Source organism: Homo sapiens, chromosome 12, assembly GCF_000001405.40.
Source record: "Homo sapiens chromosome 12, GRCh38.p14 Primary Assembly".
Classification (NCBI taxonomy): domain Eukaryota; kingdom Metazoa; phylum Chordata; class Mammalia; order Primates; family Hominidae; genus Homo; species Homo sapiens.
Window position 1 is genome coordinate 120,003,736 of NC_000012.12, and position 25,725 is coordinate 120,029,460.

At 41.4% G+C, this 25,725-nt stretch overlaps 1 protein-coding gene across 16 annotated transcripts in view, besides 1 other annotated feature; it reads left to right on the plus strand.

The window, feature by feature from the left end:
* BICDL1 (BICD family like cargo adaptor 1) overlaps nucleotides 1-25,725 on the plus strand; it is a 105,260-nt gene that overhangs the window by 14,500 nt on the left and 65,035 nt on the right. The window lies entirely within an intron of this gene.
* Nucleotides 8,846-8,925: an enhancer, noted in NCBI's record as "active region_7120". NCBI's record gives its function as "activates an Ori minimal core promoter by ATAC-STARR-seq in GM12878 lymphoblastoid cells {active_cell/tissue: GM12878}" and the evidence as "EXISTENCE:reporter gene assay evidence [ECO:0000049][PMID:35858748]".

Sequence of the window (25,725 nt, forward strand, 5' to 3'; positions counted from 1 at the left end):
AGGTCCTTTTGCATTGCACTGTGCTTCTCCATGGTCTGCAGGTTGGTCAGTTACAGAGCGATTGGTTCTGTAGTTCTCTGACTCTACTGATGGGTATGGAAATGAGCCTTTTAGCTTTTACAAAAAATTCTCGTCTCATGGGACGATTGGCCATTATTTGGGTTTAGGTATCATTATGGCTTTCCTGTCCTTCTTGGGAGCGTACACTAGACAAAAGAACTCCCTGTCTGCAACTCTGTGTCATCTCATCTGTTCTCATGCTCCACATGGTCTGTAGTATGGAGAAGGAGGCAGCCAGAGGTTCTCATTTGGAAAGCTGAATGGTGATTGCTTCTGAGCAGAGCCTCACGTAGGATATATAATTGCTCACTGTGCAGCCCTGATGGCTTCTTCAAGAGTAAAACTCGAGAATTCACCTTAAAATAATTATTTTTTCTTTGATTTATTTAGGTATTGTGCTATATTCTTTTTGCATTTGTTTTCCCAGAGCCCCCTCCATTTATCCCTTTCCCCTCATCACAGTGCTACAAGTGTCTCTAACAAACCTCTCCCCAGTTTCTCACATCCAGAATTGGGGTCATGTGCCTTGTCACTATGACTTTGGGTATTACTCCCTAATACCCAAAGAGAGAAGCTGTTTTGGGAGCATTGTATAAAAAGGGCTGCTTCAAAGGCTGAATGAAGCCAAGATGGGTTTCTACTATAGAATCACTGAGATAGGGAGGGTGATAAAGAGCATTCAACAGGAAGTTATGCCTAGGTCCAAGGCCAGGAGAATCCAAAGCCTGTACTTTAAACTAGAAGGGATTAGGCCAAGAGATACCTGGAGGAATGGTCTAAATATTGGTGAAGGAGAGACTGAAATAAAGAAACAAAGATCCATTATAGTTCAGGTGAAGCCAGGAAGTTTGAAATCTATGTTTATGAAAGATTGGCTCCCAATGGGGTGTTATTTTTATGAACTTTGATTTATCTGGCTAGGATAGGGTCGGCTTCTTAAGGAACTTAGCTTTACTGAATATTCCTTAGTAGATATTCAGAAATTCTAGTTTTGCCTCTATCCTAAGTTTAAGTTTTATAGATTTGTTTGTTTGTTTGTTTCTGAGACGGAGTGTCGCTCTTGTTGCCCAGGCTGGAGTGCAATGGCACGATCTCAGCTCACTGCAGCCTCAGCCTCCCAGGTTCAAGGGATTCTCCTGTCTCAGCCTCCTGAGTAGCTGGGATTACAGGCGCCCGCCACTATACCCGGCTAATTTTTGGTATTTTTAGTAGAAGCGGGATTTCACCATGTTGGCCAGTCTAGTCTCAAACTCCTTGACCTCAGGTGATCTGCCCACCTCGGCCTCGAAAAGTGCTGGGATTACAGGCATGAGCCACCGTACCTGGCCTATAGATTTTTAAATTTTAAAAATGTTTATTGTGTTTCCTGATGGCAAAAAGAATTCATGTTCACTGTGAAATAATATTGAGACAATAGAGAAATGTTCAGTACAAATGTTCAGTGAAAATCTCCCATGGTCCTCTTCCAAAGAAAATACTAGCCATGGTTTGGTGTTAATTTTTTTTGTATTTCTTCATATGTGATACACACATGCACACATGTTGTACATAACTTTTCTACTTATTTTGCTTTGTTTTTGTTTGTTTTTGAGAGAGTCTTGCTCTGTCTCCCAGAGTGCGGTGGCTGGAGTGTAGTGGCACAATCTCGGCACACTGCAACCTCCACCTCCTGGGTTTAAATGATTCTTGTGTCTCAGCCTCCCAAGTAGCTGGAATTACAGGCGAGTGCCACCATGCCTACCCAATTTCTGTATTTTTAGTAGAGATGCGGTTTTGCCATGTTGGCAGGCTGGTCTCAAACTCCTGGCTTCAGGTGATCCACCTCGGCCTCCCAAAGTACTGGGATTACAGGTGTGAGCCACCACGCCCAGCCGTTTTTGCTTTCATTTTAAACAAAATGGTTTTCTTAAAATTCTTTCACTTACTATATCTTGGAATTTTTTTTAAAGTATTTTAAATGGTTGTATATAGTATTCCATATAGCACATATGGAGGTACCACGGCTAATGTAACAGCTATGCCATTGAAGGGCATATGTGTTGGTTATAGTGATTTAGTGTTACAAATACTGCTGCAGTGAACATCCTTGTTCATACATTTTTGCACTCTTCACATTTTTCTAGGTTAGATGCCTACAAACAGGATAGCTAGGTCAAATGGTATGTACATTTAAATTTTTAATAGATACTATCATATTGCTCCAAGAATGTTTTAATAGTCTATACTCTCCTCATATCTACCTTCATCAAGAGTGCAAAACCTATCATTCTGTATGCATACATAGTACAACTATAAAGAAAACTGAGGTAATTATCATCACAAAAGTCAAGATAATGGTTACCTGGGGAATGTGTGTGATTGGTGGGGAGGATCCCCGTCATCATGGAATGGTGCCTGGAGAGGAGGCTTCTGGAAAGCTGGCAGTGTTCTGTTTCTTGACCTTGGTGGGAATTATGTGGGTGTTTGCTTTATAATTATTTGTTAAGCAAGACGTATTTGTTTTATGTATTTATCTTTATATATGTTGTATTTCACAATTTGAAAAATTCATTCATTCATTCATTCATTCAAATACTTATAATGTGCACCTACTATGTATGAAGTCACTGTTCTGAGTAACAGTGATGCTACAGTGAACAAGGTGCATTCCCTGTCTGAAAATAATGCAGGAAGTTGACAGTAAAGAAGGAAATACATAAACAGACAAATCAGCTAGTGATAGTACTATGAATACAATAAAACCAGGTAAGGAGGAGAAAGTGGTAGCTGTAGAGACAACTCAATTTTTGATAGGATTCTCAGGAAGGAACCTTTGGGGAGGTGAAGTTTGAGCAGGATAAAAAGGAGCAAAAGAGTATTCCTGGCAAAGAAAACAACATGTAAAAGCCTAAGAACAGTGGAAAGAAGGCTGCTATGACTGGGGTGTGGTTAGCTTGGAAAGGGTTAGGAGATGAGATCAGAGAGGTAATCAGCAGCCAGATCTCATAGGGCCTTGCTAGCTACCAGGGGTTTTAGTCAGTGTGCTGGGAAGCCAGTGATATGTTTTTGGCAGGGGAGCATCATGACCTGATTGATAACAACTTTTAAAAGATTAGTTACTCTAGGAGGATGGATTATCGGGCTGAGGGTGGAGGGATAGAGATGGATGAAGAAGCGACTCCCCAGGTAGAGTTGATGGTAGCTTTGATTATGGAAGTGTTGAAACGGGTTAGGTTGGATATATGTTTTGAAGGTAGAACTGACAAGACTTACTAATGGAATAAATGGTTGTGGGAAGGAAGGTTAAAGAAAAAAAATAATCAAAAATGACTCCTAGGTTTTTGTCTTGAGCTACTGGAGGAATAGTGGCATCATTAACTTGAGAGACCAAAGGCTAGAGGAAGGAAAGAGGGATAGGTTGGAATATAAAGTCAAATAATTCATCTTAGACTGTGTGGATAATTAAGGTTGAGATGCCCTTTACATATCCATGTTAGTTTCACATAAGTAGAACAAATGAGAATTCTGTTGTATTGAGGTGAAATACTGAGTTAAATTTCCGCAGCCATCTGAGCTCTCTCAGGACCTGAGACTCTGTTCTAGTACCTTTCATGAGGTTGTCACCAAGAATTTCCTCATTCACAGTGACGGAAGCTGAATTCAGACAAGAGTGTCCCCCACCCCCCACGTACACACTCTCAGCTCCTAGAAGAACCACCTTCTGAGTTCATGCCTGTGAGGTGAGATGTGTAGGAGGAAGTTAATGCAAACAGATGCTTTGTCTGTTTCCTGCCTGTTTGGAGCTGTTTTCCTCAGTCAGCCTCTAATGCCTTATCCACACACAAAGAATACAGTTTGCATACTAGCTGAAACTAATCTTCTCTGAAAAGACTAATTTTCCTCTGAAAGGTAAACAGATCCTTGTTCTTTAAACAGCTCATTTTGGATTAGCAACTCTGCGTCTGGTACACTTCTTGAAGCACATTTCTCCCAGTTTCCTTTCTTGGAGTTAAAGACATTAATACAGTGTCCATAAGTGTCACCACCACTCTGCCTCTGTTGAGTGATGCAGAACCATTTTTGTTTCTAGAACACTTTACAGTGAGCAACAGCTGGTTATCAGAAGTAGTTTTAATTGCTGAATGGGCTTTTGTTCCTTTTGAGGTGGGGGCTGTATTATTTGTTTTTTTCTTAAAAGTCTGCTTCGTTTACAGAGGCTGGCAATTTTTAGTCATCCTATTCTAGAAAGAAGTTATGAAAACAAGATAATTTCTCAACCAAATAACAGCTATTTAAATTTCCAAAGGACGTTCTCATATGTGACCTCTTCTGATCCCATTCCTGCCTGTGATGGAAGTCATGATAATTACTCTTTCTTTTTTTTTTTTTTTTTTTTTTTTTTGAGACAGGATCTCACTCTATTGCCCAAGCTGGAGTGCAGCAGCGCCATCATGGCTCACTATAGCCTTGACCTCCTGGGATCAGGTGATCCTCCCACCTCAGCCTCCCAGGTGGCTGGGACTACAGCTGTAAGCCACCATTCTTGGCTAATTTTTTATACTTTTTATAGAGATGAGTTTCACCGTGCTGCCCGGGCTGGTCTTGAACTCCTGGGTTCAAGTGATCCACCTGCCTTGGCCTCCCAAAATGCTGGGATTACAGGCGTGAGCCACTGTGCCCAGCCAATAGTTACTCTTTATTTGGCAGATAAGGAAACTGAGGGTCAGAAGTTTGGTGACACTTGCTCAAGGCCTTGCAAAGGTTACATGTTAACCACTGGCTTGAGGATTGGCTTTTTGTAAATCTTCCAGGATGGGTAGTCAATTGGAAATAAAAACCACTTCATATGTATTTCTATCTCATTGATTTGGTTGATTTTTTGGTTGATATTTGCTGGGTGGTATTGTTTTGGATGCCTTTTACATCACTAGGTAAAATGAATCCAAATGTTTGGAATTCATTCTTAGCAATGTTTGTTATATTAAGGATGTACTAGAAGGATTAAAAGTGGTATATTGAGAGGACCACTTCAGCTAAAACAGAAAAGGGCCTTTTACATAGGAGCTCTCTTCTGTGAAGACAGATTTTCCAGCATTTCCAGATTGTGCTATTGCTAATTAGTAGGTTAAACACATTAGGGTGGTAATTGCTTATTCTTCCGGCATAGAGGTGTTTTTTTTTTTTTTTTGGTAGATTCTTGTATTGATTAGTTGAGCCTGTTCTTTTCTTTTTGAGATGGAGTCTTCCTCTGTCACCAGGCTGGAGTGCAGTGGCGCAATCTCGGCTCACTGCAAACTCCACCTCCTGGGTTCAAGTGATTCTCGTGCCTCAGCGTCCCGAGTAGCTGGGATTACAGGCACACGCCACCACACCCAGCTAATTTTTGTATTTTTAGTAGAAATGGGGTTTCACCATGTTGGCCAGGATGGTCTCGATCTTCTGACTTCATGATCCGCCCGCCTCGGCCTCCCAAAGTGCTGGGATTACAGGCATGAGCCACTGCGCCTGGCTGAGCCTGTTCTTAATTATTTACCGAGAGAGCCATGCCTGATTCAAGAGTCTTCAGGTTGGTTGTGTGGGCTACAAGTATCTAGTTCTGGTTTTCTTTTTCCAAAGAGGAACGCCTAAAGTTCTAGTATATTGGGCCTAAATTTTGGAGGTTTGAAGGCCCAAGATTCAGATTAATTACTGTAGGGGTAGATCTTTTTCATGCTTCTAGATTTGGCTTAATGTGGCAGTTAGTCTTTCTTTTTACCTTGAAATCTGGATTCACTCAATCCTTGTAGACAGCTTGGTATATTGTGTAGGAGAGATAAAAATAGAGTTTAAATGAGCTGCCCTTGCCTGATGTGAGGTGGGGCCCCCAAATTTTGTACTTGGTAAATGGTAGGAAGATTGCAGATGGTAGGAAGGTTGGAGTTGACAGGCAGACAAAAAGTTGGCAGCATACTATATACTCTTTTGTTACTTATGCTGGTTAGCCCATAGTTGTGGTTCCTAAGTATTGTTGCTTTGAAAAACAAAATATCTGTATCCAGTGAATGAACCATCAACAGAAAAGCAAGTAATGTTTTGACACAGATAGCATCATCTCCATTTCTCTACATTGGCATCTGGGCCAATAGTCCAGTGCTATTATAAGTGTTTTAGAGCTAAAAGAGAACTTCTGGTCTATCTGGACCAGTGGTTTGTGAAATGTTTGCTCTTCAGGGATTCTGCAAACTTGAATGTGTTTTTAAAATTTGTAACACTCCAAAGAACCATTACCAAAATAGTCATCATGAACCCTCTTGAGATGTCATGTAGAACACACGCAAGACCACCAGTGCCTCAGCCTGTGCTGCCAGCTTTGCCTGAATGTGTGGAGACGCCAGCCTGCAGCCTCCATGCCACTTCTATTAACTAAAGAGTATTATGCAGTTGTAAGGTGGACTGAGTAAAACTGGTTGCGCTTGTAACTGCTTCACTGGGTGAATAAAACAATTTGTTTTCAATATTTAAAATCAACTAAATTCACAAATACATGCATACTGAGTAAGATTGCCACCATCATCCTTATCCTCCAATTTCAAATTATTTTGGAAAGGTCTAATTTTTCTTAATTGAGTTTATAAATTTTATACATCTACATTATAAAATACTTAATAAAAGATTACTTTGTTCTGTTTATCTGTTCTGTTTATTGAGGCTTCACATAAGATTTCATATGGAAAAGGGCTGTGGGTGCCAACAAAAAAATCCCATATAATTTGGAAAACCATTGGTTTCAATCAGCGGTTCTCAAACTATTCTGAGGAGCCATAGGTCTCTAAGAGGTGCCTCAGGGAATAGCTGCAAGGAAGAGCTGAATGGATTGTTAATCTGGTGGATTCCTGTCCCCTTCCCCATTTTCACTTCAACCTGAGCATTTTAATGTTTTATGTATTGAAGTTCTGTTTAATATTTTATTTGAGGGAAAAAGTGTTTTTTTTTATCTGAGTTTAAAGAAAAATGATGTGCAGTCACTAATCTATGACTAGTTAAGGAAGCAGAGCCCCGGGGAAGTTAAGTGATTTGCTCAAGTCTGCAGTCCCAGTCCTCTGCTGCTTCCTGTGGGGCTCTTACTGGCTTAACAAGTAAAACAAGCCATCTCTTTGATAATAAATGATATTTACTGATTAAGAAAAAAAGGGGTGGTATTCATTATTTGTAGAAGAGTAACCCTAGTTACAGTTTTATTCGTTAATACTGAAGTTGTTGTGACGGATCAGTCACCAACTTTTAGTAGCCTAACAGGAATTAAAAGCTGGTATTCCTGAGTGGTCAGTGGCTCTTAGTTCAGGCAGTGATTCAGTTCTCCTCCAGCCATCTTCCATCTTGTGACTCGGCTGTTTTCAACAGGTGACTTCTAAGGTCGTAGCAGAAGGAAAAGAACCTGGAAGATTTCTGTGGGCTATGCCTGGAAATGGTGCCTGTTGCTTCCGCTCATTTGCTGGTCAGAGCTCAGTCACATGGCCATACTCAGTTACAAGAAAACCTGGGAAATGTAGACCAGCTTTTTGCCCAGGGAGGAGAAGAAATGGGTTGGTGAACAACTAGCCAGTGTCAGCCATAATGGAGTCAGTAGAAAGAGTCCTGGGCTTCAGTTTTCTAAAGAGATTAGAGTGGCTGATTGCTAAGATCTTCCAATTCTAACTAGGTAGGATTCCAAGGCAGATATAGTTGTAACAGTATCACCTTTTTTGGTACACATTCACCATTCTATCCCAGATAGAGAAGCTGTTTGGTCTTTTTGTACTCAGGTAATATCTTTGATAATCACAGAGTTGGGTAAATTCCTTTGAAGTTATAACTTGATCCAGAATCCCCAAAATAAAAAAAAGTTGGTATCTTTTTCAGGGATTGCCTTAGGGTGAGATAGACCCTTTCATGGTTATATTAGGTAGAATAACATTAACTGTTATAATACATAAACCCTAAGCTCTCAATGGCTTTACATAATAGAGGTTTTTTTCTCATTCCCATAAAGTCCAACAGCATTTCTGTTTAAACATGAGGAAGAATAGCATTGTGCTTTAATGGAATGAATTGACCTGGAAAACAGAAGACCTAGGTTCTAGCCCATGTTCTGTCACTAATTTTCTGACTTTGAATAAATCCTCACTCTGGGTTTCAATTTCTGTCAGTAAAACACGGAGATTGAACGAGATGATTCCTTCGCTCTCTAAATGTCCACATGTACGTATGCGATCTCTGTTGGAAAGAAAATTAGTAGAGAGATAGTCTCACATGATGTGGTATATCATGTCTGGTAACTTTGTAATGCTGCCGCCTTTGCATGCAGAACATATTCATCCTTCTCTGGGACCGAGGGCGGCTTCTCCTCTCACCCAAATTTACTCCTTTGTGTAATGAGAAATAGAGAGAGGTTGAGATGATTGGTGCCACAACAAAATTTATTTTCCATTCCAGTCATGACACATAAGGTACTTTCCCTGCACACGACTGACGGTGTGGGGAATGAGGAGGTGTTTATGTGATTTTCCTGTTTAAAATTATGCATCATAGTACTAAGGTTTTATGAGGTTGACATTCTGTAATTCTCCACGAATAAGTCAGATTTTCCGCATTGCCCTGGTATGATTAGTTGCATTCAATGCTGCATGTTTGTCATTTGCAGAACTGTAAGAATTCCCCCTATACACACCTCTCGTCATCAGTTGCTAGGTTACGGCTTTTCACATTGTCCCAGTCTGGTGATGTTGCCATGGATACCAGTTATACCTCCTCCTATGACACTGTCCTGGTCAGGCTCAGAGGGCGGGCAAGATGTAACTATGATGTCAGAGATGTTTTAGCATATGTCTTTCCCTTTACATTAATGATAAGATCTAAGTAATAGATATCAATTCTATGTGTTCTCATATATGAATTAAGGACATGAGGTATTAGCTGAATCCCTCAAACAGTCCACCACTTAGAACCTTTATTCCATTATGTATTTTTTTTCTTTTTTAAAGGAAAGGGAAGGGAAAGGAAGGGGAAAGCCTTTATTCCATTATAATTCTGCAGAAATGGAACTAACAGATTATAAAATATGAATATAAGATCTGCTATACTGTGTCCAGCTCATTCCCTACACAGACCAGCACCCCACCTCCCATAGGGTGGGCTATACATGGAATATCATTATCCTTTACATTGCCTTCAGTGGTAGGGACATTTGGGAATGCTTTTTGTCAAACTCTTAATTTATCTAAGTTATAAAGCCTGTGGGCCGGTAATGGTGGCTCATGCCTGTAATCCCAGCACTTTGGGAGGCCAAGGCGGGTGGATCACCTAAGGTCAGGAGTTCAAGACCAGCCTGGCCAACATGGCGAAACCCCGTCTCTACTAAAAATACAAAAAAAATTAGCCGGGTCTGGTGGCATATGCCTGTAGTCCCAGCTACTCAGAAGGCTGAGGCAGGAGAATCGTTTGAACCTGGGAGGTGGAGGTTGCAATGAGCCAAGATCACACCTCTTCACTCCAGCCTGGGGGACAGAGCAAGACTCCATCTCAAAAAAAAAAAAAAATTATAAAGCCTGTGGTCCAAATTTTATTGTCATTTAATGTCACATGATTATATTTCTTCTCCTGCTAGGTTTTAGACACCATGAATTGCAGGGACTATGTCTTTAACCAGAGTGTGTGTGTGTGTGTGTGTGTGTGTGTGTGTGTGTGTGTGTGTCAGAGTCTTACTCTATCACCCAGGCTGGAGTGCAGTGGCGCGATCTCGGCTCACTGCAACCTCCGCCTCCTGGGTTCAAGTGATTCTCCTGCCTCAGCCTCCTGAGTAGCTGGGATTACAGGTGCCCGCCACCACGCCTGGCTAATTTTTGTATTTTTAGTAGAGACAGGGTTTTGCCATGTTGATTAGGCAGGTCTTGAACTCCTGGCCTCAAGTGATCCGCCTGCCTCAGCCTCCCGAAGTGCTGGGATTACAGGCGTGAGCCACCGTGTCCAGCCTTTAACCAGTTTTTATCCCCAACAACACTTAGTGCCATGCATATTATGGCAGGGATCCAGAAAAGTCTCATTGATTTGTTCTGAAGACTGAAATGTAGGTAATAACTAATTTGACTTTAGATTTCTAGCATAGTGTTTTAAGATGGTGGAAACCCCCGCATATTACAGTTGTTGAAGGGCAAGGTTAACCCATGTTATTTAGCTCTTGTCTAGTCTGACCTTTTGATCTCACAGTTGAAGAAAGCACTAAGGCCGTAGGAGGATGTGACTCATCTAAGGTCACAGCCAGTAAACCTGTGGTTTAGGTAAATGTGTGTTATAAAAAATCTTTGAAAAACAAGGTGTAAAAATCTTTGCAAAGTAATTCTGTTTACTTAAACGATCATGTTTTGTTTTATGCAGTCTGTTTACTTAAAAACCTAGCAGACAGAAAGCTATTATTAAAGAAGAACTTCAATATTTAAAAGGAGCCCTACATAGAACCTACCTACCAGTTACTTCAAGTCAACTCGAAGCCTTGCATTCTGCTTAGTATTTGAATTATTCCTCAAAAACCAAAATAAAATTTAATGTAGCATCGGATTGAGGCATCTTTCAAAAGTAACATCTATTTTGAAAACCAGCAGAGTTTGAATTAAAAAACCATTCTTGCACCGGTGCAGTGGCTCACGTCTGTAATCTCAGCACTTTGGGAGGCTGAGCCGGGCAGATCACAAAGTCAGGAGATCGAGACCATCCTGGCCAACATGATGAAACCCCGTCTCTACTGAAAATACAAAAATTAGCCAAGTGTGGTGGCGCGTGCCTTTCATCCCAGCTACTCAGGAGGCTGAGGCAAGAGAATCGCTTGAACCCAGGAGGCAGAGGTTGCAGTGAGCCGAGATCACGGCACTGCACTACAGCCTGTGACAGAGCGAGACTCCATCTCAAAAAAAAAAAAAAGCAAACCATTCTTGGCTGGGTGTGGTGGCTTACACCTGTAATCTCAACACTTGGGAGGCCAAGGTGGGAGGATTGATCCCAGAAGTTCGAGACCACCCTGGGCAACATGGTGAGACTCCCATCTCTAAAAAAAAATTAAAAAATAAAAAAAATTATTTGTATGTCATGTTACTTCCCTAAAATGAAAGGAATTTATTTACCAAATAGAATCCTTTGTTTGAAAAAAAAATGAGTGAAAACATGTCTTCTGAAAATACAGTCTGCTAAAGTTATAGGTTATGGACTTTTAACTGTCAGTGGGAGAGACAGACAAATCTTATGAGAGTCAGGGAAAGTGACAAAGCTGAAACCCTCAAGAGAGGACACATAATTCAAGATGGATCTTCCCTCCCTTGCCCCAAGACCAGAGAATTCAAGAGTCTGCCCCTTCCCACTTGCAGTGGGAAGGGAAAGCTTGTTGAAGCTTTCTTAACTTTATGCAATAACCTGAAACATCTCCTTGCCTTTAAGCTCTGCTCCTCCATTTTTTCCCATTGTCAGATACCTTCCTCTTTGGAAGCTCTAAACAACTCTTACTGCATTTAGGGGACTCCCTTGGCATAACAAATAAGAAAGGGCATGGCATTCAAAGCCCTGTACCTTCTGGACCTAGCACACATTTCCAGCCCTGCCTCTTCTTTCTACTTGTACCACCGTTGGAATTTCCCCCAGTCCTGAAGGCCAGGCTCAGTTGCCACTTCCTTCATGAGAACTTTGCTGTTCTTCTCCCACCAGCTTTGATCTCTCCTACTTACCAACTAGAGTGCTTTAGTCCCTTTCTTTTGTCATTTACATTCTGTCATCTCTTACGGTTAATTCATGTATTTGACTCCATTGAGTCAAGGACTGTGCACTCAGGGCACCTCCCCCACAGGGCTGAGCACCTTATCTGGAAACTTCGTATGTGTTAGAACTAGATTCACAAGCCAGCTAAGCATATGTTACTTAGTTCTGTGGTTCAAATGTATAGCAAACTTGACCATTTACTAAAAGGTTGAACCCACCCAGAGAATTATTTCACTTCTCTTAATATATACTTAATCTTGCTGAATTCCTTTTCCATTGTCCAGATCACTGGTTCCCAGTCTTTCAGTGTAAGGAACCCCCTTTTTAAAACCTAATCCAATGACCTTCTACAATATTTTGAAACAGCCTTATTGAAGTATAATTTACAGTTTATAAATTCACCCACTGTAAATGTATAATTCAATTTTTAGCATATGTACAGAGTTGTGCAGCCATCACCATAATCCAATTTTAGAACATTTCTGCTACCCCAAAAAGTTCCCCCATATCGTTCTGCATTCAGTCTTCACTCCTGTCCCCACCCGCAGCCCCAGGAAAACACTGATCTGTTTTCTGTCTGTATTGATTTTCCTTTTCTGGATATTTCATATAAATGGAATCAGGCAATATATAGTTTTTGTGTCTGGCCTCTTTCACTTAGCATCACGTCTGTGAGGTTCACTCGTGTTATAGCACATAATAGTTCCTTTTTTAGTATTCCATTGTGTGAATATACTGCATTTTGTTTATCCATAACCAGTTAATGGAGATTTGGATTGTTTCCAATTTTCAACTATTATGAATAGTGCTGTTAGGAACATTCATGTACAAGTCTTTGGACTTACACTTTCATTTCTTTTGGGTAGATATTTAGGAGTGGAATTGCTATATGGTATGTCTGTAACCTTTTTTTTTTTTTTTTTTTTTTTGAGACAGGGTCTCACTCTGTCACCCATGCTGGAGTACAGTGGCGTGATCATGGCTCACTACTCTGGTGATTCTCCCACTTCAGTCTCCCAAGTAGCTGGGACTACAGGCATGTGCCACCATGCCCAGCTAATTTTTGTATTTTTTGTAGAGACAGTTTTGCCATGTTGCCCAGGCTGATCTTGAACTCTTGGGCTCAAGCAGTTTGTCCATCTTAGCCTCCCAAAGTGCTAGGATTACAGGTGTGAACCACCACACCTGTCCTGTCTGTAACTTTTTAAGAAACCGCCAAACTTATTTTCAAAGAAGCTTGTACCAGTTTATATTCCTACCAACAATGCGTGAGAGTTCCAGTTTCTCCACAAGAGGACTCCTTTTTAGTATGTAAAAAAAAAAAAAATTGTAGACCTTCACATGGTAATAGATTTATTTTACTTTATTTTATTTCATTTTTTGAGACGGAGTCTCGCTCTCTCTCCCAGTCTGGAGTGCAGTGGCACGATCTCGGCTCACTGCAAGCTCTGCCTCCCGGGTTCATGCCATTCTCCTGCTGAGCTCAGCCTCCCGAGTAGCTGGGACTACAGGCACCCGCCACCACACCCGGCTAATTTTTTGTATTTTTAGTAGAGACAGGGTTTCACTGTGTTAGCCAGGATGGTCTAGATCTCCTGACCTTGTGATCCGCCTGCCCTGGCCTCCCAAAGTGCTGGAATTACAGGCGTGAGCCATCGTGCCCAGCCTAGATGTTGTTTTATATCAGCAGATTGATAAAACAACACAGGGATTGAGTAATACTTTTAAAAGGATTTATATTCTAGAATCAAAACAGCGTGTATTAACATGATGTGTTCAGTATAGAGGCAGTGCTCTTAAAGCAACTCGGTGTCCCCAAAGGATTCATGGTTTGTAAGTTGGGAGCCACTGATCCAGATGACTTGTTTAGAAATAAATGTAAGTTATTTTGTGTCTTTTTATGCATCATCTGTAAAATGGAGACCTGCCTCATAAAGTTGTTTGAAGACTAAATGAAAATATATCCCAAGGCAGGAAGATTGGTTGAGCCCAGGAGTTTGAGAACAGCGTGGGCAACATAGCAAGACCCGTCTCTGCAAAAATTTTTTTAAAAATAAGCTGGGCATGGTGGCACAGGTCTATAGTTGTAGCTACTTGGGTGACTGAGGCAAGAGGATCACTTGAGCCCAGGAGTTCAAGGTTGCAGTAGGCTATGATTACACCACTGTACTCCAGCCTGGGTGACACAGTGAGACCCTGCCTGAAAAAAAAAAGAAAATGTGTCAAGATTTGGCCGCATAATAGTTGCTCAATTAGTGGCAGCTAGTATTAGTAGAAAGCAGTATGATTTAATCGAGTATAGGCTGTGGAGCCAACAGCTGAGAATTCTAACTTAACCTGAATTAGGTGAGATTAATAGTAGTCTGCTTTTCACAAACTTTTTTGAAATGGGGACTGTGTGGATACTTGCAAACACCTGTTTCCATGCTTGATTCTTGCTGACTTCAGATTGCTGTTTATATCTACCCGTTTCCTTTGGTTTCATCTTTTTGGATAGGAACCTTCTCCCCACCAGCAATCTGTCAAAGTCATTTAGTAAATGCTATTCCTGTGTTCTAAAGCTGTAATTCTCATCCCTGATTGCATATTAGAATCACCTGGGCAGCTTTTGCGCTGGATACCGATGTCTGGTCCCACCCTCAGAGATTTGACTTAACTGCTCTGGGATGTGATCTGGGCATCTAGATTTTTAAAAGCAGGTGATTGTAATGTGTAGGCAAAGATGAGAATTACCATTCTAACGTGAAACCAGGATTGGAGACAGCTGTTCTTGCCCAATTTAGTATCAGTAGCCAGTGTTACAACTTAATTCCTTCATTGGTAAGGAAATTGAACAAAATGGACTCTCTCAGATTCCCTGTTAGAATCTGAGAGTTCCAAGGCACTGGAGGAACCTTTCAGGTAAGCCTTTCTTCCACCTAAGTAGCACAGTCAGTGTCTGAGAAAGATTGTGTGGAATGAAAGCAAAACCTTAAATCTTGAAGTCAGGGTATATTTCATCCATCACTCTTTCTAGGAGGCTGTATGCTGTAGTGAAATGAATGCAGGTTTTGGCACTAGATGAACCTGGGTTTATTTTGGCTCTGTTGATTACCAGTTGTGTTGGTTGATGTTCAGAAAGTTTGCAGTTGCACATTTTCCTCATCTGGAAAATAGGAATTGTTATAAAAAAAAAATCATACTATATACCTTATGGGGTTGTTAGGGTTGTAGACTACATATAAAGTCTTGTGTTGGCCAGGCGCGGTGGCTCACACATGTAATCCCAGCACTTTGGGAGGCTGAGGCGGGTGGATCACGAGGTCAGGAGATCAAGACCTTCTTGGCCAACGTGGTGAAACACCGTCTCTACTAAAAATACAAAAAATTAGCCGGGCGTAGTGGCGGGCGCCTGTAGTCCCAGCTACTTGGGAGGCTGAGGCAGGAGAATGGCGTGAACCCGGGAGGCGGAGCTTGCAGTGAGCCGAGATCCCGCCACTGCACTCCAGCCTGGGCGACAGAGCGAGACTCCGTCTCAAAAAAAAAAAAAAAAAAAAAAGTCTGTGTCTTGTGTCCATGGCCTTAATATGGTGACCTCTCGGGAGCGGGGGACCGCCAGCTTGCTTAAGGTGAAGTGAACCAGCCCGGGTTAGAAACAGAGCAGGTCAAAACTTGCGTGCTGATTAGTAGTGTGATTGTGCCTATGAAAAGTTACTGCACTCCAACCTGGGCATCATAGTGAGACTCTGTCTCTTAAAAAAAAAAAGTCTATCTGGCTTAGTGAATTGTAACTGCATTTGTACTGTTACTCATTTATTTATATTTCTTTTTATCCTCTGACTCTACTGTAATTCATCTGGTGTCTCATCACCTGGGCATTAAAGCTGAAAGGACTATGAAGTTAGAGATTGTATTTTAGAGTCATTTATATTTCCATTGCCTATACTAGTGCCCTGTGTGCAGAAGGTTATAAAGTTTGATGATTCAGAAAATAGAAAATTTAATATTTTTTTCAAATTTTGCTGATTTCATAGGTAAATAACAGAGATGTGGCATTACATCATTAGTGCTCAGCAAGTAAATCTTGCTACACATCGTTTTTGTTAGTTTGTTTTTTTGAGACCGAGTCTGGGAGTCTCTCTGTGTTGCCCAGGCTGGCTTGGAACTCCTGGGCTCAACAGATCCCCCTGCCTCAGCCTCCCAAGTAGCTGGGACTACAGGTGTCCACCACTGCAACTGGCAGACACATTATTTTGATGGCGATATCCCTTCATTTTTGTCTGCTGAGATTCATGGTCAAAGTCATGCAATATCATACAACCCAAGAACAAAAATAGTAGCACCTTAGTATTTAGCAAGAGAGGCTTCAGTAATTATAGCAAGTATGATGTAAGCAAGGGAATGGGTTTGAGGAGCAGCTGTGATGAAGAACCAGGCAAGCAATGAGAGAGAGGTCAAAAGAGGTTAGGATGTATAGGCAAACCAGAATCAGAATATGGAAGTGCTGTTCATATATCTTTTTTTTCTTAGTTCTGTCCTCAAAGGGCTTAGAAGCAATGAAATACTAGTTAGTAGTAATGAGCACCCCCAGTGCCCATATTTTAATTTCTGAATAACCAGGGCTCTCTGGAGAAATGACTAATTCCAGGTCTGAAACAGGAACTTGATAGGGCGAGCCTGACACATTATCTTGTGCCAGAAATAAGAACACTATTAAAATCTAATGGAATAATTATACCGCAGTTTAAAACAGATGAACTAATGGAGTTGTGTCAAAAGGACAGAGAAGCCAGTTGGAAGGGACTCTTAATTGGCCGAAGGCGGGACGGCTGGAGAGTTGGCTGCAATTGATTTAAACACATGAATATATAAAACGTCAGAGTCTGTTATATTGTAATAATACTCAGAAAAGAGAAAGCTTCCCCAACAGTTGTCAGAACTAAAAATTACTTAAACATTAACTCCTTACTCTAAATATTGATAAAAAGAAAAAATTAAGCATTTTTCCAGGAGCAACCTTTTTTTTTAAGGTAACCAAATAACTCTAGGTGATGAGGGTATGATCTTTACATAAGAATGCCTGCTCATGTTTATAGAAGTAATGTTATAATTGGGGAATAACCATTCCAACTCCTAATAAAATAACTGATTCAGGCAAAAATCATCTACAGATGATAAAACTATTAGGTGAACAGTAGATGGAGAACTGGACATATCATCCCACAGGTTATTTGATGATTACAAGGAGAAAGACACAGCTTTACAATGGGAGGGGTTTACTTTAACAAGTGCTCCATCTTGGCATCATGAATGGTGGGGACAACCAGGCAGTATGAAGTAAACAGCTCACCTATGCTGTGTTCTTGTGAAAATTATTTCACCTGAATCTATTCAAGGCTTTAGACAGGCCTTGTGCTGGATTTGGCCATCTTTGTATGGCCCTTGAGCCAAGAATGGTGTTTATGTTTCTAAAGGACTTTTACAAAAAAAAACACTGGTCTCGTGGTGTCTACACCTGTAATCCCAACACTTTGGGAGGCCAAGGCAGGCAGATCACCTGAGGCCAGGAGTTTGAAACCAGCCAGGCCAACATGGCAAAACCCTGTCTCTACTAAAAATACAAAAAATTAGCCAGGTGTGGTGGCATGTGCCTGTAGTCCCAGCTACTTGGGAGGGTGAAGCATAACAATTGCTTGAACCCAGAAGGCAGAGGTTACAGTGAGCAGAGATGGTACCAGAGCACTCCAGCCTGGGCGACAGAGCAAGACTCCATCTCAAAAAAAAAAAGGAGAGAATAGGCAGGGCACGGTGGCTAACATCTGTAATCCCAGCACTTTGGGAGGCCAAGGTGGGCGGATCACCTGAGGTCAGGAGTTGGAGACCAGCCTGGCTAACATGGTGAAACCCCATCTCTACTAAAAATACAAAAATTAGCCGGGCATGGTGGCACGCGCCTGTAGTCCCAGCTGCTAGGGAGGCTGAGGCAGGAGAATCGCTTGAACCCAGAAGGCAGAGGTTGCAGTGAGCCAAGATTGCGCCACTGCACTCCACCCTGGGTGACAGAACGAGACTCCATCTCAAAAAAAAAAAAAAAAAAAAAAAAGAGAATCAGCCAGGTGTGGTGGCTCATGCCTGTAATCCCAGCACTTTGGGAGGCTGAAGTGGGCAGATCACCAGAGGTCAGGTCTCCAGTTGGAGATCAACCTGGCTAACATGGTAAAACCCTGTCCCCACTAAAAATACTAAAATTAGCTGGGCGTGGTGGCGCATGCCTGTAATCCCAGCTACTCGGGAGGCTGAGGCAGGAGATTTGCTTGAACCCGGGAGGTGAAGGTTGCAGTGAACCGAGATTGCACCACTGCACTCCAGCCTATGCAACAGAGCGAGGCTCTGTCTCAAATAAAATAAAATAAAATAAAATAAATAAAAAAATAAAATAATAAAAATAAAATAAAATATAAAAAAATAAATAAAAATATCATAGTAAAGTAAAATAAAATAATGACTTTTACAAAAAAAACAAAAAGACAACCAAAAACCAAAGAAGAGTATATAACAGAGGTAGTATGTGGCTCACAAGAACCACAGTTTTGCTTTCTGGCTCTTTACAGAAAGTTTGTCAGCCTCTGGGTTGGAGGAACAAGTTAATTGACTTAATGAGGAAGCCATGTCAGATAAATCCAGAAAGTGGACAACCTGTAGGAAAACTAGGTCTATTCAGCTTCACAGAAAAGCAGAAATATATGGGATGGAAATTTGTTAAAAATTGAAAGAGCCTGGGCACAGTGGCTCATGCCTGTAATCTCTGCACTTTGGGATGCTGAAGCAGGAGCATTGCTTGAGCTCAGGAGTTCGAGACCACCCTAGGCAACAGCGTGAGACCCTGTCTCTTAAAAATATATATTTATATATATATTTTTTATATTATATATAATATATGTATTTTATATATTATATATTTATATATATTTTATATATTTTTGTGTATATATATATATTAAAGGAGACTTAAGAGGCATGAAAAACAAATGCAATGTTTGGATCTTAGTTTGAACAAATTAGCTTTATAAGGTATATTGGGGACTTCTGCTTCCAGTGAAGCTGGCATAACAGAGACCAGGTTTACTTTCCCACTTATAAAAACATACACAAACTATATGAAACAATGTTTTCAAGAGACTAGATATCAGGTAATGCAGGAGAGTGATCCCCGAGAAATGGGGAAACAAAAGAGGTGAGGCCTACAATTGCCCCCAGACTGCCTTGACTTTCAAAGCTGTAGCACCAGAAGCAGAAAATGAAGCAGAGCCCAGTGAACTCTGTAAGTTGACATGGTACTGTGAATCCAGTGAGACCGGTGCAGCTACCATTCATAGGAGGGAGTAGCAGAAAGAAGAGAGAGATACAGAGAGAACCCCAGAGGTCTGCAGGTCTCTTGAGTATTCATCAGAGACCAATCAACATAAACATGTGAGCAAACTATTCAGGACTGGGGATTTGATGGAATGGGTCCCATGTTCAGACAGTAGTTGCAACAGTGCTTGTTACTACCAGCCAGTACTTGGGAAGGTGTTGCCTTAGTAGTAGTGAATAATTAGCTCTGGACCAGGGGTATCCAATCTTTTGACTTCCCTGGGCCACATCAAAAGAAGAATTGTCTAGGACCACATATGAAATACACTAATGATAGCTAATGAGCTAAAAATAAAAAATAAATTGCAAAAAGATCTCAATGTTTTAAGAAAGTTTATGAATTTGTGTTGGACCACTTTCAAAGCCTGTGGGCCATGGGTTGGACAAGCTTGCATCTAAACAGTACTTCTCTGGGCCTACCTAACAAATCTTAAAAGCAAGATTCAAAAGGATCAAACTATATCCAAGTAATTTAACTCTATCCCATAATAAAGATCAAAAAAGGCTATGGGAACACAAAAATATTGAACACCTAACATGGTAAAATTCACAATGTCTGACATCCAATCAAAGATTCTCAAGTATGGGCCCAACACAGTGGCTCATGCCTGTAATCCCAGCACTTTGGGAGGCCAACCTGGGTGGATAACTTGAGGTCAGGAGTTCAAGACCAGCCTGGCCAACAATGGTGAACCCCATCTCTACTAAAAATACAAAAAATTAGCTGAGCGTGCTGGCAGGCACCTGTAATCCCAGCTACTCAGGAGGCTGAGGTAGGAGAATCGCTTGAGCCTGGGAGGCAGAGGTTGCAGTGAGCTGAGATCGTACCACTGCACTCCAGCCTGGGTGACAGAGTAAAATTCCATCTCGAAAAAAAAAAAGGAAAAAAAAAAGATTCCCAGGTATGCAAAGAGGCAGGAAAATATGGTCTGTAATAAAGAGAATAATCTGTTGAAAGTGAGGCAGAGCTGACACACGTGTTAGACTTAGCATAGAAGAACAGGAGAGTTCTTAGAACTGTACTTTGTATGTTTAAAACTTAAGTAGAAACATGGAAGATATAAAACACAGACCTAAGGCTGGGCACGGTGGCTCACACTTGTAATCCCAGCACTTTGGGAGGCCAAAGCAGGCATATCACCTGAGGTCAGGTGTTCGAGACTAGCCTGGACAACATGGTGAAACCCTGTCTCTACTTAAAAATACAAGAATTAGCTGGGCATGGTGGTGCACGCTTGTAATCCCAGCTACTCAGGAAACTGAGACAGGAGAATCACTTGAACCTGGGATGGAGAGGTTGCAGTGAGCTGAGATCGCACCACTGCACTCCAGCTGGGGCAACAGAGCAAGACTCCATCTCAAAACAAAACAAAACAAAAAACACAGACCTAAATCGAACTTCTAGAAATGAAAATGACAATGTCTGAGATGAAAAATGCACTAAATGTCATTAATAGCAGATTAGACATTACAAGAGAAAAGATTTCATGAATTTGAGGACATAGTGATAGAAATTATCCACAATGAAACACAGAAAAGTAAAAAAACATCTAGCAGTGAGCTGTGGAACAACTTTTGAACAAATAATGGCTGAAAATTTTCCAAAGATAAGTATAAACCCACAGATCCAAGAAGTTCATTGAATGCCAAACACAAGAAACATGAAGAAAACTACACTGTCATTTATCTAAGTTTATTGCTTCTCACCGTCCAGTGTACCCTTCAGTATGTACTCTCAAATATAATAATTTATTTAAATCCTCTTTCTTTCTTTCTTTCTTTTTTTTAACAGAGTCTCACTCCATTGGCCAGGGTGGAGTGCAGTGGCACGATCTTGGCTCACTGCAACCTCTGCCTCCCAGGTTCAAGTGATTGACAGGTGTGTACCACCACACCTGGCATTTTGTTGTTGTTGTTGTTGTTGTTGTTATATTTTTAGTAAAGACGGATTTTCACCATGTTGGCCAGACTGGTTTCGAACTCCTGACCTCAAATGATCTTCCCGCCTTGGCCTCCCAAAATACTGGGATCACAGGCACGAGCCACCGCACCCAGCCAAGTCCTTCTTCTTTAAAGTGTGTAGCCAAGTCCTTCTTCTTTAAAGTGTGTGTGATATTATACTTTCTTTCTTTTTTTTTTTTTTTTTGAGACGGAGGAGTCTTTCTGTCACCCAGGCTGGAGTGCAGTGGCGCGATCTCAGCTCACTGCAGGCTCCGCCCCCTGGGGTTCACACCATTCTCCCGCCTCAGCCTCCCGAGTAGCTGGGACTACAGGCGCCCGCCACCTCGCCCGGCTAATTTTTTGTATTTTTAGTAGAGATGGGGTTTCACCGTGTTAGCCAGGATGGTCTTGATCTCCTGACCTCGTGATCCGCCCTCCTTGGCCTCCCAAAGTGCTGGGATTACAGGCGTGAACCACCGCGCCCGGCCGATATTATACTTTCTTAGTACAGGGAACTGGAGGGACAGTGTAGGAGACAGAAGCTCTTGTTTCTGGTGTAGACCACGGGTCACAGTTGTGGGTATGAGGACATCCCATGGAGCCTGCCCCAGAACATGGTCCCTATGTGGTGTTTGCACCCGTGTTCTCTCTTCAGCTCGCTCAACCTGTCCTGCGTGGCTTCCACATGACCGTACACTCTGAAGTCTTCCTTTTCCCACTGGCACTCAGACTCCCTACTGCATAGCATTGACTGCTGATCACCTTCACTCCAGACTGTATGCTTTAAATATGTACAGGTTACCATATATCAATTATACATCAGTAAAGCTATTTTCAAAATAAGGTGTAGTATAGTTGGAATTTTAATCTTCACTGGGTATCAGGTATTAAGGAATTATTTTTCATTTTTGTATGTGAAATATTAATAGTATTGTGGTATATATTTCTATATATACCACATTCCTTTTACTGCTTTCTTTTTTTTCTTTTTTTGGAGACAGAGTTTTGCTCTGTCACCTAGGCTGGAGTGCAGTGGCTCAGCCTCAGCTCACTGCAACCTCCACCTCCAGGGTTCAAGTGATTCTGCTGCCTCAGCCTCCTGAGTAGCTGGGATTACAGGTGTACACCAGTACGCCCAGCTAATTTTTGTATTTTTATTAGAGATGGGGTTTCGCCATGTTGGCCAGGCTGGTCTCGAACTCCTGGCCTCAAGCAATCCACCCACCTCGGCCTCCCAAAGTGCTGGGATTACAGGCATGAACCACCGTGCCCGACGCACATTTATTTATTTAGAGTTTCATATTGAAGTATTTTTTGTAGAATTCGACAAGTGCAGTTCATCAATTTGTTCTGAAATTTACATGGAAATGCATATAAATATGCATTTATAGAGAAGATTATCCTAATGTCTGTGATTTATTTTTAAATACTTTAGAAAAAATTTACAAAGCAAATGGAGGAAAATGTTAACATTAACAGTTGTAGGTGAGGGACAGATGGTCATTTGTATAGTATAATATTTACTTTCCTGTAGGCTTAAGTTTTCTTCCCAACAAAAGTTTTTAAGTGAAGTTCTAAAAAAAAATAATATTGTCATTTAGAGCAGTGGATGAGAAGCTAGGTAGATAAGAACATGGAAGATAAAATGGAACCGAAGGCTTTGCCAAGTCTAGACCAACAGGAGCTAATCACTCTTGAGGGAAAAGGACAAAAACTACACAAGATTTAAAGTACCTATAACAAGGAAATACACTAATGATGGAGGCAAAGGGCTGCTTCAGCTCAGAGGGTTCTATGGGTTTCTGTGGCAAGAAGGACCATTGCCTGATGCAACTTCCCAGCACTTGTTGGCATGAATTGTGAGCAGGAGTTTTCTGCTGCAGTGTCATAGGCTCTAGCTTGTCAGCCATCTTTTTTGCTCTCTTTACTGCCTCTGTGGATGTGTTCCACTAACCTGCCCAGCATTACTGTGAGGTCTCAGTGCTGTGGCATGACAAAGACTTGGCAGTATAGGAAGTTGGTTCACCCTACCCGCACATCCAACTGAATTGGAGTTGGTATTAAACTGAGGTGGGAATTCCATGGGAAAACTGGGATCATAGAAAGAATATGAATTATTGGCTATTCCAGTACCTGAAATGAGAACGAGAATAATGATGTAATTTCTTTTTTTTTTTTTTTTTTTTTGAGATGGGTTCTTGCACTGTCGCCTGGGCTGGAGTGCAATGGCGCAATCTCGGCTCACTGCAACCTCCGCCTCCTGGGTTCATGTGATTCTCGTGCCTCAGCCTCCCGAGTAGCTGGGATTACAGGTGCACACCACCACACCTGGCTAATTTTTTGTATTTTTAGTAGAGATGGGGTTTCACTCTGTTGGCAAGGCTGGTCTCGAACTCATGATCCGCCTGCCTTGACCTCCCAAAGTGCTGGGATTACAGGTGTGAGCCACCACACCCAGCTGGGAATAATGGTGTAATTTCACATCCTTTTGTGAAATAAAGTTGAATCTTGCCCTATTCCTCTTGAGGTACCACTTTACCTTGAAAATGCTTAGTAATAACATTTTTTAATATATTAAATCTCATTTGAGATTGAAAATGGTGGTATTAGATATTACCCTTTTCTACAGGTAGGGAAATTGAATTAGGTGTTGTTATCCCGGTTTTACAGGTTAGGAAACCAAGACCCAGAGAGGCTGTGATTTGCCCAAAGTTGATCATCCGGGTCCTGCGCAAACTCATACTGTTGTCACTTTCTTGTGTTCTGTCATGGCTGTTTTTCCTCAGATTTCTTTGAGATCTTTAAAAATCCAATTTGCACTCTGCAGGTGATGATGAAAATATGACTTTTCTTGTAGAACAATTTATGTCCTAGAATTTTCTCTTGGGTATAGTGTAGTAAGCATCCAAAATATGTTTGGTCTCCACAGAACTAGGTTAGCTATTTTCATCTTAAGACAGAGGCTAACATCACTTAACACCATCATTCCTAATTAACAGATCTGTTTACTCTTAATTTGCAATTATAGTGCAGTACAAGAAAGGCCAACAGCAAGAAGATTCAGTCCAGAGGCACCACAACGTTGATCGTTGTGTTCCTAAATGGGTGTTTTTAAGGCAGAGTTTTAATTGAGGTAATGGTGGGTATTAATCTCACTCTGCATTACCATACTGTTATGCTGTTAATGATTCAGAATTCATTGGGAAATTGGCTGTTTTGAAGGCTAGCTGTTAAATGGCTTTGCTTTTCTCTCAATGTCTGATCATCAGGGTCATGACTATCAATTTAATCAAGGATCTAGAATTGGAATGTAGCTCTGTCATTATCTGGGACTACACACTTTATCAGAAATACTGGTTTGGTAGATCTTCTCCAAGTTTCATTTTTACTCGAGTTTTAATTAATAAGAAAATATATCTAATTTTGTTTTGTTCTCTACTTCTTAGGCTCTTCTGTTTCATTGGCCTTTACAAAGGCCCATTGTCAATCACATATCCAAGAATTGGTTTCCAAAAAAAAAAAATAGATATTGGCTGGGCGTGGTGGCTCACGCCTGTACTCTCAGCACCTTGAGAGGCCAAGGCAGGCAGATCACTTGAGGTCAGGAGTGTGAGACCAGCCTGGCCAACATGCTGAAACCTTGTATCTACTAAAAGTACAAAACATTAGCCGGGCGTGGTGGCAGGCGCCTGTAATCCTAGCCACTCTGGAGGCTGAGGCAGGAGAATCACTTGAACCCAGAAGGTGGAGGTTGCAGTGAGATGAGATCGCCCACTGCACACTCCAGCCTGGGCAACAGAGTAAGACTCAGACTCAAAAATAATAATAATAAGATAAAAAGATATTGAAAATTAGCGAGAAAATAGCTGAGTGTGTTGTTGTACACTTGTAGTCCCAGCTACTTGGAAGGCTTAGGCTAGAGGAGCTTCTGGCTTGATTGAGCCCAGGAGTTCAAGTCTAGCCTGGACAACATAGTGAAACCCTGTCTCTAAACAAAAAAGAAAAAACCAAGAAAATGTATTATATTATGAAGGAGGCCACAAAGAGTTAAGACTGGCCAGAAACCTAGCTATTTAGGCAGAATCTACAGATCCCTTAAGTTACAGGTAAGCAAAGAGTCAAATTGGAGGGCAACTAACTTAGGAAAAAGCAGGCAGGTAACAATGATCATTGAGGTGGTGGTGATCCAAGAAGTCAGTGAGGATCCTCTTAACATTGCCTGCTGAGCAAAAGCAGGCCCTGAGCTGAGGGTGCAGGGCCTTTAGACCCATGGCTTCTAATGCATGTGATTAGAGGCCCAAAGTGTACCCTGTTCTAAGTCATACAAGGGAAGACGTGTTGAGATCTCCACAGGTATGAACAGAATGTACTATGCAACCCCAGGGCGGTATTCTTCTCTGTGCCCTGAATTGTAGGGCTATAATTTTACCTAAAGGTTAGCACCATTTTTTCCCCCTCAATAGGACAAAGACCCTTCAGCTTCATTCTATAGAACACAGTCTATGACTTCTTGATTATTATAACTTAGTGTTATTTTTTATTTTTAACTTGGTTGCCATTCATGGACCCCGAATTGAAATGTAGATCTATTTAGAATTT